The sequence below is a fragment of the Homo sapiens genome, chromosome 1, assembly GCF_000001405.40.
Source record: "Homo sapiens chromosome 1, GRCh38.p14 Primary Assembly".
NCBI classification, from domain to species: domain Eukaryota; kingdom Metazoa; phylum Chordata; class Mammalia; order Primates; family Hominidae; genus Homo; species Homo sapiens.
Genome location: NC_000001.11, coordinates 151,238,802 through 151,254,354, shown reverse-complemented (window position 1 = coordinate 151,254,354; position 15,553 = coordinate 151,238,802). Strand labels below are relative to the sequence as shown.

The 15,553-nt window shown below is 45.0% G+C and overlaps 1 protein-coding gene across 51 annotated transcripts in view; it reads right to left on the bottom strand.

Moving 5' to 3' along the window:
• The window catches only part of PIP5K1A (phosphatidylinositol-4-phosphate 5-kinase type 1 alpha), a 54,113-nt gene continuing 43,383 nt past the window's right edge, over nucleotides 4,824-15,553 (bottom strand). For 37 of the 51 annotated variants that reach the window (XM_047431638.1, XM_024450129.2, XM_006711568.5 and 34 more), the window contains 6 exons: nucleotides 15,177-15,225; nucleotides 14,316-14,400; nucleotides 12,086-12,232; nucleotides 11,788-11,917; nucleotides 7,390-7,435; nucleotides 4,824-6,492 (listed from right to left, as the gene is read on the bottom strand). In XM_047431638.1, the coding sequence (XP_047287594.1) occupies nucleotides 6,490-6,492; nucleotides 7,390-7,435; nucleotides 11,788-11,917; nucleotides 12,086-12,232; nucleotides 14,316-14,400; nucleotides 15,177-15,225 (460 nt within the window). In that variant the 3' untranslated portion in view covers nucleotides 4,824-6,489. The remainder of the gene's footprint in view (nucleotides 6,493-7,389; nucleotides 7,436-11,787; nucleotides 11,918-12,085; nucleotides 12,233-14,315; nucleotides 14,401-15,176; nucleotides 15,226-15,553) is intronic. The other 14 variants (XM_047431709.1, XM_047431712.1, XM_047431710.1 and 11 more) reach the window with 2 other exon arrangements.

Genomic DNA, 15,553 nt, shown 5'->3' with positions numbered 1-15,553 from the left:
GTTCGAGACCAGCCTGGCCAGCATGGTGAAACCCTGTCTCTACTAAAAATACAAAAAATTAGCCGGGCATGGTGGCGCACGCCTGTAATCCCCGCTACTCGGGAGGCTGAGGCAGGAGAATTACTTGAACCCGGGAGGCAGAGATTGCAGTGAGCCGAGATCGCGCCACTGCACTCCAGCCTGGGGGACAGAGTGAGACTCCGTCTCAAAAAAAGAAAAAAAAAAGTGTCGGGATCGCTAATGACTTTCTACAGCCCTCAGTTCCCTGTAGAATTTTAATTCAACAAGCCCTTATACCCTTCAATTGAATTTATTTGTATATTTATCTCCTCCCTCGTTTAACTAAGGGTGGGCAACGTGCCTTTTTTTTTTTTTTTTTTTTTTTTTTTTTTTTTTTTTTTGAGACGGAGGAGTCTCGCTCTTTCACCCAGGCTAGAGTGCAGTGGCTCGATCTCGGCTCACTGCAACCTCCACCTCCTGGGTTCCAGGGATTCTCCTGCCTCAGCCTCCCAGGTAGCTGGGACTACAGGGGCATTCCACCATGCCCGGCTAATTTTGTATTTTTAGTAGAGACGAGGTTTCACCATGTTGGCCAGGCTGGTCTCGATTTCCTGACCTCAGATGATCCACCCACCTCAGCTTCCCAAAGTGCTGGGATTACAGGCGTGAGCCACCACACCTGGCCGGCAACGTGTCTTAATCTTTACAATTCCCTAAGCCCAGTACAGAGCCCGGAAAAGATTTGACAACTCAATTATATTAACTAATCTGCCAAAGAACAAACCACTAAACCGTTTTGGTTAATCAAAAATTACATTCAAGGCCTGATGCAATGGCTTAGGTTTTATAATCCCAGCGTTTTGGGAGGCCCAGGCAGGAGGATCAACTCAGGCTAGGAGTCTGAGACCAGCCTGGACAACACAGCCAGACTCCGTCTCTACAAAGTTTTATTGTTTGAGACAGGGTGTCGCTCTGTTGCCCAGATTGGAGTGCAGTGGCCTGATCTCGGCTCACTGCAATCTCCACCTCCCGGGTTCAAGCCATCCTCCTGCCTCAGCCTCCTGAGTAGCTGGGGCTATAGGTGCATGCCACCAAGCCCAGCTAATTTGTTTTTAATTTTTTGATGTGGGAGGATGGCTTGAGCGCATGAGTTCGAGACCAGCGTAGGCAACATAGCCAGACCCCATCTCTGAAAAAAAAAAAGTCTCAAAGTGTTGGGATTACAGGCGTGAGCCATCACATCAGCTGGATATTTGATATTAAGCAATTTTTTTAGGCATGATAATAGTGTTAAAGTTATCACCCTTATAAAAGTAGGCTTTATTAAGGGTTATATGTTGTATTCATAGATAAAAAAAGTATATGAAGTTTGGGATTTAACTTAATCCTCTGGAAGAAACAAATAGTTTTGTTTTTTGAGACAGGGTCTCAAAGTAAAACAAAAGAGACAAGGTCTCACTGGGCTGGAGTGCAGCAGTGGTGCAATCATACATAGCTCACTGCAACCTCTAACTCCTGGCCTCCCATCTCAGCCTCCGAAAACTGGGATTACAGGCTTGAGCCACTGCACCCGGCCACGCTGGTCTTATTTATGTTGATAATTATTGAGGCTGGGTTATGTGTACATAGTGGTTCACCATACTACTCTACTTTTGGTTTGGAAATTCCCATAATGAAAAAAAGAAGGCCAGCTGGGCACGGTGGCTCACGCCTGTAATCCCAGCACTGAGAGGCCGAGGTGGGCAGATCACTTGAGGTTGGGAGTCCGAGACCAGCCTGGATACCCCCGTCGCTACAAAAAAATACAAAAATTAGCTGATTGTGATGGTGCCAGCCTGTAGTCCCAGCTACTTGAGAGACTGAGGTAGGAAAGTCGCCTGAGCCCAGAAAGTCAAGGCTAGAGTGAGCTGAGATTGCTCTGGGTAACAGAGCAAGACTAAAAAAGAAAACCAAGGCTGGGAAATCTCAGCACTTTGGGAGGCCGAGGCGGACGGATCATAAGTTCAGGAGATCGAGAACATCTTGGCCAACATGGTGAAATCCCATCCTACTAAAGATACAAAAATTAGCCGGGCATTGTGGTGGGTGCCTATAGTCCCAGCTACTCTGGAGGCTGAGGCAGGAGAATCACTTGAATCCGGGAGGAAAAGGTTGCAGTGAGCCGAGATCGTGCTATTGTACTCCAACCTGCGCGACAAGAGTGAAACTCCGTCTCAAAAAAAGAAAAACAAAACTAATAAAGAATGAGACTTCATCTCTGAATACATCTCAGAATAGCTGAGATTGACATGCTTAAGGGTAAAATATCAGACCAGATGACGATTTCCAACTTTATTATCCTATGATTTTAATTTCTCTTTTAGTTAGAAGTTTTACACTAATAGACCCTACTTGTATCTGAATATAAATTAGAGCATATAGCTAGAGAATAAGCACTAGTCGCTGCTCACCGCTAGAGGGACCCTCTGATCATAAGAGGATTATCTACACCACCCATTCAGTAGTTTTGAGTACACTCTGAGTGACAAGGTCAGGGATGCAGAACATTTATGCCTAAAACATGTTAACCTCCAATTCCTATTAGGGAAAAAAGTTTTCTCCTTATCCAGACAAAAGGAGGACTGGCTGGGGCTGTGGGAAAATCAAATTCAAAACTTTGAGAATCTGGGCCGAATGCAGTGGCTCACGCCTGTAATCCCAGCACTTTGGGAGGCCGAGGTGAGCGGATCACTTGAGGCTAGGAGTTTGAGACCAGCCTGGCCAACATGGTGAAATCTGTCTCAAAAAAAAAAAAAAAAAAAAGAAAGAAAGAAAGAAAAAGAAAAGAAAAATGAAAAGAAACTTTGAGAATCCCCCATTCCTCTTCCAATCCAAGTACTTGCTTTTTCTTTCTTCTTTTTTTTTTTTTTTTTTTTTTTGAGATGGAGTGTCACTCTGTTGCCAGGGTGGAGTGCAATGAATGGTGCAATCTCAGCTCACTGCAACCTCTGCCTCCTGGGTTCAAGCGATTCTCCTGTCTCAGCCTCCCGAGTAGCTGGGATTACAGGCGCCCGCCACCATGCCCGGTTAATTTTTTTTTTTTTTTTTTTTTTTTGAGAAGGAGTTTCACTCTTGCTGCCCAGGCTGGAGTGCAAGGGCTCGATCTTGGCTCACCGCAACCTCTGCCTCTCAGGTTCAAGCGATTGTCTTGCCTCAGCATCCCAAGTAGCTGGGATTACAGGCGTGCACCCACCACGCCCAGCTAATTTTTTGTATTTTTAGTAAAGATGGGTTTTCTCCATGTTGGTCATGCTGGTTCTCCCTGTTGGTCGAACTCCCAACCTCAGATGATCTGCTCGCCTCGTCATCCCAAAGTGCCGGGATTACGAGCGTGAGCCACCGCGCCTGGCCTAATTTTTGTATTTTTAGTAGAGATGGTGTTTCGCATTGTTGGCCAGGCTGCTCTTGAACTCCTGGCCTCAAGTGATCCACCCATCTTGGCCTCCCAAAGTGCTGGGATTACAGGTGTGAGCCACTGGACTTGGCCAATCCTCTGTTTAATTCTGATGGAACTTTGTTAGTCTCTCAATTATTTTGTATCACATCCTATTGGGGCAAAAAATATTTCAGGGTTCCCAATATTGCCTCTAACTATACTTATTCCAATATTCTCATCATGATCTCTTCCTTGTTCTCAAAAACAGACCATTCTCATGCATCTAGGTCCTTGTGCTGAAGTGAAACATTCTCTTAACACTTCTTTCGCACGTAACTGCTAATTTTTCCCCCTTTTATGTTCTGTGCCACCTTCAGAGAGCTTAAGTAGCTGTCTCACATATAACATATTGTTTTTGTGATTTGTGTTCCTCCTGGAAACTAGAAACTTTTGAAGGACAATTATTTCTTTGATCTCCATCTACTCCATGCATTGCTCATTAGCTGCTATATAAATATTTGGAGTGCCCTTAACAAGATAGGGAATAGTGGTATGAAAAGCAGCTGTTTGCTTAACTGCTTCTCTCCAAAGGTTCCCTATCTTCATGCCTCAGAATGAACCTCACCGCTCCTTTTTTTTTTTTTTTTTTTTAGACAGTCTCAGTCGCCTAGGCTGGAGTGCACTGGCGCAATCTTCGCTCACTGCAACCTCTGCTTCCCAGGTTCAAGCAATTCTCCAGCCTTGACCTCCAAAGTAGCTGGGACTACAGGCGCATGCCACCATCCCCTGCTAATTTTCAATAAACGGGGTTTTGCCATGTTGGCTGGGCTGGTCTCGAACTCCTGACCTCAGGTGATCCACCTGCCTCCACCTCCCAAAGTGCTGGGATTACAGGTGTGAGCCACCGCGCCTGGCCCGCCCCTACTTTTTTGTCTAGTTTCCTATCAAAGGAGCCTTAGCTCAACCTCACAAAAGAAAACAGCTAAAGAAAGCAATCTCTATGATCTTCTAAGAGTGACGCCCTAGGGCCAGGTCAAGAGAACGAAAGGGAGGGAATCACTAGGGCCAGCTAACCTCAAACTTACTTTTCCCACTGTCCCTCTCCTTTCCTCACTTAACTGAGTAAAGTGAGTTTTGAACCTCAAATCCCTGTTAAATTGGGTTGCAACCTAGGCAAGAGACCTACAGTAACTCCCCTCATATTCATTCACTGCTTTTCCTCGTGAAGATAATGGGGTTGCTGAGGAAGAGGATATAAGGACATAAAGCCTTAAGAGTGAAGCTGGAGTGTTGCAAGCTGGAAAGTATGCAGCCTTTGTTTAGGGCAACATGAACAAAACTGAGCCTGGGTGGTGGAGTAGGAGGGTGAGCAGATGGTATATGAAAAAGAATCAGAAAAAATAAGAGGTCTAAATAACTCATTAAAGTTTATTACATTAAAACCATATATCACTTTTATATTGTATTTGCCATTTCTGAACAATACAAAGTAGAGGCAAATAGTAACACTTAATAAAAATGTTGCTTCCCCATTCCTTTCCCTAAGACCCAGCCCTCCCTCAAATATTCCCTCCCACCCCTAACAGAACTCTGTCCTTAATAAAACACTTAAATACATCATAAATAGTAAATTATGAAAAAAAAATAGCAAGAATTCTTTCCTTCTTGTAAAAAACATGGCAGCAAAGACAGGCAGCCAGAAACTGGCTGGGGGTGTCTAATATAGACAGTTATTTGGGGTATGGGCTAACATATTATCAAGGCAGGGTGGGATAGAGAAGGGATAGAACAGGAATTCAACAATCTGCCTGAGATACCAGGCCCCCTTCTTCCCCTGACAAGAGTGGAAGGATCAGATGGAAAACCACAACTCTTGTAGACGGGGAGGAGAGGGCATATGTAGCCCCCATTTCCAACTTCCCTGCATGAAGACAGGGGGGTAGGACATATGGCACAGCAATGACCTCACCAAGGCAAGAATCTGCTGTCTCCCCATGAGTTTAAGAAAATATTTGCTGGCCTCACAGATATGGACTGTCTGTTAAACAGACAGAAGTGTCCCCTCTTTACCTTAGCTCCACAAACAGGAGAACACTGTTGGAAAAGATGAGAAGAGCAAAAAAAATCTCCTCTGGAGAATGATCTAAAATTCATTTGGTAAGTCTTCACATTTAGAAAAACAACCAGAATATATTTCAAATTGCAAAATAGTAATAATTACTATAGCCTGGCAGTGAACAGGATTCTGCCTAGGAAGGGCTATGATCTCCCAGCCCATGGCTGCCTCCTGTTTTAACAAAAGGGATAAAGATTACCCCATGTCCCACTCTCTTCATTCCTTCAGCCTTAAGAAATTCATCAAGAGAGGAGGAGTTTAAAGAGGAGCTGCTTCTGGCAGAGCAATCACTACTCTTCTCTTCATAAACACCATGGCTCTTCTGAGGGAACTCTACGAATAGGCATCTTGTCAACACTTCTGGAGTTCTGATCTGAAAATGGCTTGAAATTGTGTGCTGTGTGCTTTTTCCTTTTTTCAGAAAAAAAAAAAGAAGAAGAAAGCTGGGAGGTGGTTAAACACCCTTATCCCCCAAAAACCTTTACAGAGATTACAGGAGTATTCTTCCAGGAGTCAGAGAGAAAGAACTAAGGTAGGGATAATGTGCCAGCTAGTCTGTCCTGAGGAAATTAAGAGTCCGGTTCCTAGTCAAAGACGAGGGGAAAGAAAGCTGCCAAGTCCAGCAATCCCATTTCCAGCATGAAGAATGGGGGTCTGAAAAAAATTCAATAGTGGAGGCAAAGGGTTGGCCAGTTGAAAATCCATACCACCCAACTCTGGAGTGGAGGGGATGCTGCGGTCCTCAACTCTCTGAGGCACTAAGGCCCATTCATGAGGAAGAGGAAGGAGAGAAGGTTCTTCTTCAGGAAGAAGATGGAGGAGCAGCTCCCCTCACTTCTATTACACTCCTTTTTTGATGACCAAGTAGAAGAAAATTCAGCATTGCTGGGGCAAGGGCTGACATCTTGGGATCACAGAGATGGCAGAATCTTGTTCCAGGTCTTCTGAGGCTTTGCGCTTACTGAAAAGGGAGAGTGTAAAGTTAAGGATGTGGAGTATGAGATTAAGCAGAAATGGAATTCAAGCGTTAAGAAATTTCTATTTCAGCCTCAGCCTCCAAGTATGAGGTACCAAAAATATTTTTTAAAAAACAAGATGGCGGCCGCGCATGGTGGCTCACACCTGTAATCCCAGCACTTTGGGAGGCCCAGGCAGGTGGATCACGAGGTCAGGAGATCGAGGCCATCCTGGCTAACACGGTGAAACCCTGCTCTACTAAAAATACAAAAAATTAGCCGGGCATGGTGGTGGGCGCCTGTAGTCCCAACTACTCAAGGGGCTGAGGCAGCAGAATGGCGTGAACCTGGGAGGCGTAGCTTGCAGTGAGCCGAGATCGCGCCACTGCACTCCAGCCTGGGTGACAGAGCAAGACTCCGTCTCAAAAACACAAACACGATGGCTGGGTGCAATGGCTCACGGCTGTAATCCCAGCACTTTGAGAGGCCAAGGTGGGCAGATCACGACGTCAGGAGTTCAAGACCAGCCTGTCCAATATGATGAAACCCTGCGCCTACTAAAAAATAAAAAATTAGCCGGGCGTGGTGGCACGCACCTGTAGTCCCAGCTACTCCAGAGGCTGAGACAGGAGAACTGCTTGAACCCAGGAGGCAGAGGTTGCAGGTGAGCTGAGATTGCACCACTGCACTCCAGCCTGGGCAACAGAGTGAGACGCCATCTCAAAAATAAATAAATAAATAAATAAATAAGTACAAAATAAAAAAATAATAAAAAATAAAAAACAAGATTTAGGAGGTACCCAGATCCTCTAATCTTGACAATTAACTTCCTGCTCCAGGCCATCAGTGATCCTCTTTATACCTTGCAAAACGTTCACCTCCCACACATCCCAGATACTCACATGGGTGAACTCTGACTCTGCAACTTCAAGCTTTTCCAAGGTTGTACTAACAGGAGAAAAAAAATGGAAGCAGAGAGAAAAAGAATTAGAAGACAACAACAAAGGACTCTCCTTTTAAATCTCATACTGCTTCTCTAATTTTCACTTTGGAATCAATTTAGAATTTGGAAAGAAGAGGCTGAGAAGCTACTAGATTTAGAAGCACACTGTTTTAATTAACCATATTTAGCTTCTTGAATACTATAAAATATTTCCCAGTACCCTGCCCTCTTCTGTTTCAATCTCCAGGTGTCGTAGGTACCCTCTAAGATTGCCCCCAATAATCCCTGCCTCCTGAGATCCATGCCATTGTGTAATTCTCTCTCAAGTGTGGGCTGCATTTAGTGATTCTCTTCTCATGAACAGAATGCAGCACAGGAGATGGAATGTCCATTCTGAGATTAGATTACAAAAATACTGTATCTTCTTCTTGGACTCATGCTCTAGCCCCTGCTTGCCTGCTCTGAGGAAAGCCAGCTCCTATGCTATGAGCTGGCTATGGATAGGGCGATGTGACAAGGAACCGAATACTGCCAACAACCATATAAGTGAGCTGAGAAGCTGATCTTCCCTCAGATAAGCTTTTGGACTAATAGCTTGACTGTAATCTCGAGAGAACCCGAGCCAAAGGCATCCAGCTAAGGTACAGAAACTGGGATAACAAATTTTTGTTTTCTTTTTGAGACAGATCTCGCTCTGTCGCCCAGGCTGAAGTGCAGTGGCACTATCTTGGCTCACTGCAACCTCTGCCTCCCGGGTTCAAGCAATTCTCTCGCCTCGGCCTCCTGAGTACCTGGGATTATAGGCACAAATCACCACACCTGGCTAATTTTTCTATTTTTAGTACAGATGGGGTTTCATCATGTTGGCCAGGCTGGTCTCGAACTTCTGGCCTCAGGTGATCCGCCCTCCTCGGCCTCCCAAAGTGCCAGGATTATAGGTGTGAGCCACCACACCCAGACTGAGATAACAAATGTTTGTTTTCAACAGCTAAGTTTGGGGGTAATTTGTTACACAATAATAGATAATACAGACTTTTGTACCTGGAATTGAGGTGCTGCTATAACAAAAATCTAAAATTTGGGGGTGGTGGCCTGGTGCAGTGGCTCATGCCTATAATCCCAGCACTTTGGGAGCCTGAGGCAGGCAGATCATCTGAAGCCAGGAGTTCAAGACCAGCCTCAGCAACATGGCAAAACCACGTCTCTACCAAAAATACAAAAATTAGCCAGGCATGATGGTGCACGCTTGTAATCCCAGCTCCTCGGGAGGCTGAGGTAGGAGAATCGCTTGAACCTGGGAGGCGGAAGTTGCAATGAACCAAGATAGTGCCACTACATTCTAGCCTGGGTGACAGAGGGAGACCCTGTTGGCAGAGACTGCAGTGAACCAAGATCGTGCCACTGTACTCCAGCCTGGGCAACAGAGTGAGACTCCATCTCGAAAAACAAAATCAAAACAAAACAAAACATTGGGGGTGGCTTGGAGGAGCATTTTAGTGAAAAGGTAGTGTCCTGAATATGCTGTTTATAGAATTTTGGACTTAAAGGGGGTTACCAGTGAGGGCTTAAAGTGAGAAAAATTTTATTGGAACTTGAAGGAAAGGAGATCCTAGTAAGGCAGCAGCACAAAGTTTAGCAACAATGTGATTTGTGATTATGTGAGAAGTAGAATATGTGCCTAATGAATTGGACAATCTAGCTACGGAGATTTCCAAGCAAAGTCCTGAAGGTGCCACCTGGTTTTCTCTTGATGCTTATAATAAAATATAGGAGAAGATAAAGAAATTATGGGAAGGACTATTAAACAAAAATGCCAGAACTTGATAAGTTTTGAAAATTCTAAGCCTCTCCAGAGAGCAAACGATGCTAAAATTAAGAAATGGCAGGCCACATACGGTGGCTCACTTCAGGAGGCAGAGGGAGGAGGATTGTTTAAGACCAGCCTGGTTAACACAATGAGACATCTCTACCAAAAAAAAAAAAAAAAAGGCTTTTGAGCAAGGATAAGCTCCAGAGCACTGCCAAGAAAATGTGGTCTAAAGATGAAGGCAAACATATGACTGTGAAACATCTTATTAAGACCTCAGAAAAACAAAAGGTATTGGTTCAGAGTATAGTCATCCCTCAATATCTGTGGGGGACTGGTTCCAGGACCCCTCCTTGAATATCAAAATCCACAATGCACAAGTCCCTTATATACAATGCTATGGTATTTGCATATAACTCACACACATCCTCCATATACTTTATTTTTATTTATTTTTCTTTTGAGACAGGGTCTCGCTCTGTCACCCAGGCTAGAGTCCAGTGGCGCGATTTCGGCTCACTGCAACCACTGCCTCCGGGGTTCGAGCGATCCTCCTGCCTCAGCCTCCTGAGTAACTTGGACTACAGGAACATACCACCACGCCTGGCTAATTTTTTTGTATTTTTGGTAGAGATGGGGTTTCGCCATGTTGCTCAGGCTGATCTTAAACTCCTAGGCTCAAGTAATCTGGCCGCCTCTACCTCTCACAAGTGTTGGGATTACAGGCGTGAGCCATCACGCCTGGCCCTCCATATACTTTAAATCATTCCTAGATTATTTATGATAACTAATACAATGTAAATGCTATGTAAATAGTTGTTATACTATATTGTTCAGGGAATAATGACAAGAAAAGTCTGTACATGTTAAGTACAGGCCTAACTGTACAGTACATATCAGCAACAACATAACATTTTCACGACTTTTTTTTTTTTTTTCAGTATTTTTTCGTTTCTTTCTTTTTTTTTTTCAAAGGGATGGGGTCTCGTTATATTGACCAGGCTGGTCTCAAACTGCCTCAAGCAATCCTCCCACCTCAGCCTCCCAAAGTGGTGGGATTACAGGCATGAGCCACCACACCAGGCTCTCAAGTATTTTCAGTCCACAGTTGGTTGAATCTGGGATGTGGAACCTGTGGATACGGAGGGCTGATTGTGCTATTCAGTCATACAAAAGGCTGTTCAGAAGATTATGTTTCACAGATCCTTTCAACCGAAAAACAGAGTCTGTAAGAAGCTTAGGTCTCATAAAGAAGATATTTATGAGTGTGGCTTTTGTCTAATGGAGTAAATCCCAAGGAGAATCACAGGAGGCCCACAAAATCTTCTGTATCAGTAGAAACACTGCCATCTTGGATCAAAAAGGACAGAAACAGTACAAAATAGAGACCACTAGTTCCCCTAAAATTCTACTGGAAAGAAGCAGCCTGAGAAAAGAACTCAGGTAAAAACACACTCTAGCTTTGATGAAAAAGGAAGACTCAGAAGACAAAACCAAGAGTCTAGAGGGTAGAGCCAAGAACCACGGAGAATTATTCTTCTGCTTTGAGGCCTGATAAAAGAAACTCCAACATTTCCTGGATTTTGGAACAGCAAATAAAATCAATGACTCCTTTTTGTGCCTCCCATTCTCCCCTTTTATGTACAGAAATGTGTATATTGGTTATCTAATGCCTGTCTCACCATTGTATGCTAGGTACATGGGGAAAGGATAACTTGTCTCTTTGGTTCCACAAGTTCACAGATTGAGAAGAACTGTACTTGAGGAGCTGTGCTTAAGGAACTATACCTGGGGGGCTCATCCAACCGGACCTAATTTAGGTAATAAAACTCTGGACTCTGAGCTAACGCTACAATGGGATGAGACCCTGGGAGGGGGTCAGTGTATTTTCGACATGGAGGTATGTAAATTACTGGAGACCAGAGAGCAGACTATGACAGGCAGTTTCTAAGATGGCTCACAATGATCCCTGCACCTCCTGGTATTCACACCCATGGGTAATTCCTTCCTCTTGAGTGTGGGCTGCATTTAGTGAACAGAATGTAGCACAAGTAGAATGTCAATTCTGAGATTAAGTTATAAGAGGCCATGGTTTCTGCATAGGCACATGCTCTCTTGTTCACTTGTCAGATAGCCCAGGTGCCATGTTCTGAGCTGTCCTATGGAGAAGTCCATGTAGCAAAGAACTGAGGGAAGCCCCCAGACAACAGCCAGCAAGGAACTAAGGCCCTCAGTTCAGCAACCCACAAGGAACAGAATCCTACCAGTAACCACATAAATAAGCTTAAAAGCAGATCTTCCTGTTTGAGCCTTCAGATGAGACCCCAGCCCTGGCCAACAGCTTAAATGCCACCTCATGAGAAATCTTGAGCCAGAGGACCCAGCTAAGCTGGGCCTGGATTCCTGACCCACAGAAAGTATGATATATGTTTGTTATTTTAAGCCACTAATCTTTGGGGTAATTTATTATGATGCAATCAAATTATAGAGGTTTCCAAGGACTTGAAAAGAGAGATAAGATTATATGGAGAAAGGGGCCAATAAACCAACCTTGTAGTTAGCATTTGCAAAGTCTCTCCAACTAGAGGTGAGAAACTGGGGTCAGGAATAGGCGAGCCCTCACTGATTTCCTCCAAAGGTGGAGTCTGAGGTAAAACATCAGGACGACCAAGGTGAACGCCTGGAAAAAAGATAGAGAAGATGGGGTACAGTAAATACAAGGAAAAATATGTAGCAGCTAGGCTTCCTGGATAGAAATGGGAGCAGAGGTCCTGGCCAGACAAGATAAAGGCTCAGAAGGAAGGGAGGGAGTACCCAATCACATGGGGACCCCAGCCCTAGCGCTGACCTGGCTCCACTTCTGCCTTTGTTGTCACTTGTGCCTTGTGTTCCCCAGAGACCGATGGCTGGTAAGTAATGCAGGAGTTGCCACTGGAGCCTGCTCGCCGAGAGAAAGATGAGCCAGACCGAAACTTTTTGGAAGGAGAAGGCTTCACTTCAAAAGGGAAAGAGAGAGCCTACTTAGCAACTACCTTAGCAACTATTACCAAGACATAGATACAAATAATTGCTAGTATCCCCAACACACACCCAAAGTTGGTCTGAAAAGTGAAAAGGCTAATGTCAACAAAGACAGGCCTATGAATTACTATTCAGAGAACAAGGTGTTAGCTCACTTCACTTTCCAAGAGGCATGAAAACCTAGAAGAAAGGAAACATATCCACACCTAACCCCCCAACATGGAGCCTTGATGACTGCTTTACTTCCATCAGATGAAATGTACCCTATTGCATAATTCCTTTTTTTTTTTTTTTTTGAGATGGAGTTTCGCTCTTGTTGCCCAGGCTGAAGTGCAATGGCGCGATCTTGGCTCACTGCAACCTCCACCTCCAGAGTTCAAGTGATTCCCATGCCTCAGCCTCCTGGGTAGCTAGGATTACAGGCATGCGCCACTACACCCAGCTAATTTTATATTTTTAGTAGAGACGGGGTTTCACCATGTTGGTCAGGCTGGTCTCGAACTCTTGACCTCAGGTGGTCCGCCCACCTAGGCCTCCCAAAGTGCTGGGATTATACGTATGAGCCACTGCCCTGCCCCCTTTTTCTTTTTCTTTGACGAGAGTCTTGCTCTGTCGCCCAGGCTGGAGTGCAGTGGTGCCATCTTGGCTCACTGCAAGCTCCGCCTCCCGGGTTCATGCCATTCTCCTGCCTCAGCCTCCCAAGTAGCTGGGACTACAGGAGCCCACCACCATGCCCGGCTAATTTTTTTTTGTATTTTTAGTAGAGACGGGGTTTCACCGTGTTAGCCAGGATGGTCTCAATCTCCGGACCTTGTGATCTGCCCTCCTCGGCCTCCTAAAATGCTGGGATTACTGGTGTGAGACACTGCGCTTGGCCCCCCTTTTTCTTTAATAGTATCCTATAGTAAAACCTGAGAAAGATAACTTTTTTTGAGATGAAGTTTCCTCTCTTGTCACCCAGGCTGGAGTGCAATGGCACTATCTCAGTTCACTGCAACCTCTGCCTACCGTGTTCAAGTGATTCTCCTGCCTCAGCCTCCTGAGTAGCTGAGATTACAGGTGCTCACCACCACCCGGCTAATTTTAGTATTTTTAGTAGAGACAGGGTTTCAACACGTTGGTTAGACTGGTCTCGAACTCCTGACCTCAGGTGATCCACCTGCTTTGGCCTCCCAAAGTGCTGGGATTACAGGTGTGAGCCACCGTGCCGGGCCAAGAAAGATAACTCTTTCACTCTACATTTTCTTAGCATGTATGTGCCCAGCACTAAATAATTGATACTTGTAATTTTTATCACTTTGTAAAGATTTTTTTATCTTTTTAAAATTTGTTGTAGAGACAAGGTCTCATGATGTTGCCCAGGCTGGTTCCAAACTATCGGGCTTAACCGATCCTCCTGCCTTGGTCTCCCAAAGTGCTGGGATTATAGGTGTGAGATACTGCACCCAGCCTGGTTTTTCCATATCCCTTAAGACTGGCATGCCTAGGTCCCCTCTCCCTCGCTATGGGAATAATGATGCCTAATATGAGAAGAAGGGAAAGAGAAGCTAGAATTTGCTATGGCAGCAGCATGGAAGATTTGCAAAAAAATATTGGCACTTCCTAAACAAGAAAGTTGAGAAAAGAGACTAAAAACATGTGCTAAGCAGAAATCAGTAAATGCTTCTGTAACCACCTGAGATAGTCTAGAAGACAAAACAGAACACCATTAACCTCACTGCGTATCTCTGTACATAGGCTCTGCCTATCTCTGTGGCATGGATCCTACATCCACAACTACACATTATTTATTTATTTATTTTTTTGCAAATCCCAATTCCCCAGAAATGGTCCTCACCTCATTGACATATGCAGGAAGAGCCAAGGGGGAAACAGCAACTTGGAAATGACTATGACAGACTAACACAAAGGACAAGAAATGGCTCTCATGGGATGTAGGTGGAAGGAGAGGCCTCTGGCATTGGCAGCTCCCTACCAGAGGTGTCCTGCCCTCTGTTCTCTTGGGGTAAGGGAGCCACTGGGCAGGAGTAGGCAGTCAATTGGTAGAAACCACTTACAGGGAATCTTCTTAAATACTGTGTTGCACATGAAGCGCTGGAACCGTTCAGCGTAGAAGCCTGGGCGATGCACTGAGACAGTGTCCTGCAGAGCAGAAGAAATGCTATAGAGTTAGGAGGCCCGGCAAGAGGAACTCTAGTCCAAGGGCCATCTTCCCCCAGACTGAGCCCCTAGCAGAAGGGTAAAACCTACAGATGAAATAAACGGAAGGGGCCAGACGTAGTGGCTCACACCTGTAATCCTAGCATTTTGGGAAGCTGAGGTGGGCGGATCACCTGAGGTCAGGAGTTCGACACCAGCCTGTTCAACATGGCAAAACCTCATCTCTACTAAAAATACAAAACTTAGCCATGCATGGTGGTGGGCACCTGTAATCCCAGCTACATGGGAGGCTGAGGCATGAGAATTGCTTGAACCTGGGAGATGGAGGTTGAAGTGAGCTGAGATTGTGCCACTGTACTCCAGCCTGAGTGACAGAGCGAGACTCCATCTCAACTCAGCACTTTGGGAGGCCAAGGTAGGCGGATCACTTTGAGGTCAGGAGTTTGAGACCAGCCTGGCCAACATGGTGAAACCCATCTCTACTAAAAATACAAAAATTAGCTGGGCGTGGTGGCACGCGCCTGTGGTCCCACCTACTCGGGAAGCTGAGGCAGGAGAATCACTTGAAACTGCGAGACGGAGGTTGCAGCGAGCCGAGATCACGCCACTGCACTCCAGCCTGGGTGACAGAGTGAGACCCTGTCTCAAAAAAAAAAAAAAGAAAAAAGAAAAAAGAAAAAATTGCAAGAAACTGAGGCCAATCAGAAGTGATGGAGGCAGAAGTGTACGGTAAGAGAGCCTCTAGTATTACTACTTACTCCGTCATGTACCAGGGCTTTCCAAGAGTGCTCCAACTTCTTAACAAACCTGCAAGAAAAATGTACATCACCTACTCACGTCATTTTTAAATAAATGACCTTAATAACTTTATATTTTAGGGGGTTAAAGGGGTAATAGAAAATCTTGAAAAGACAGAAGCTGAGAAAGCACATCTACTGGTACACTGGTTTTCCCAAGAACAGGCATGGCAGTGCTGGTTCATCACAGAGACCAATGTTGTTTCTAGGTAAGTCAATTATTCCCCCCATGGGAAAAGGGCAATTTATGTCCCTGACAAATCAGGAACATGAATATTTATTATAAAAGGAGAGCTGAAGGAACAGATGGGCAAGACTGGAAAGGGTAGTTAAAACTG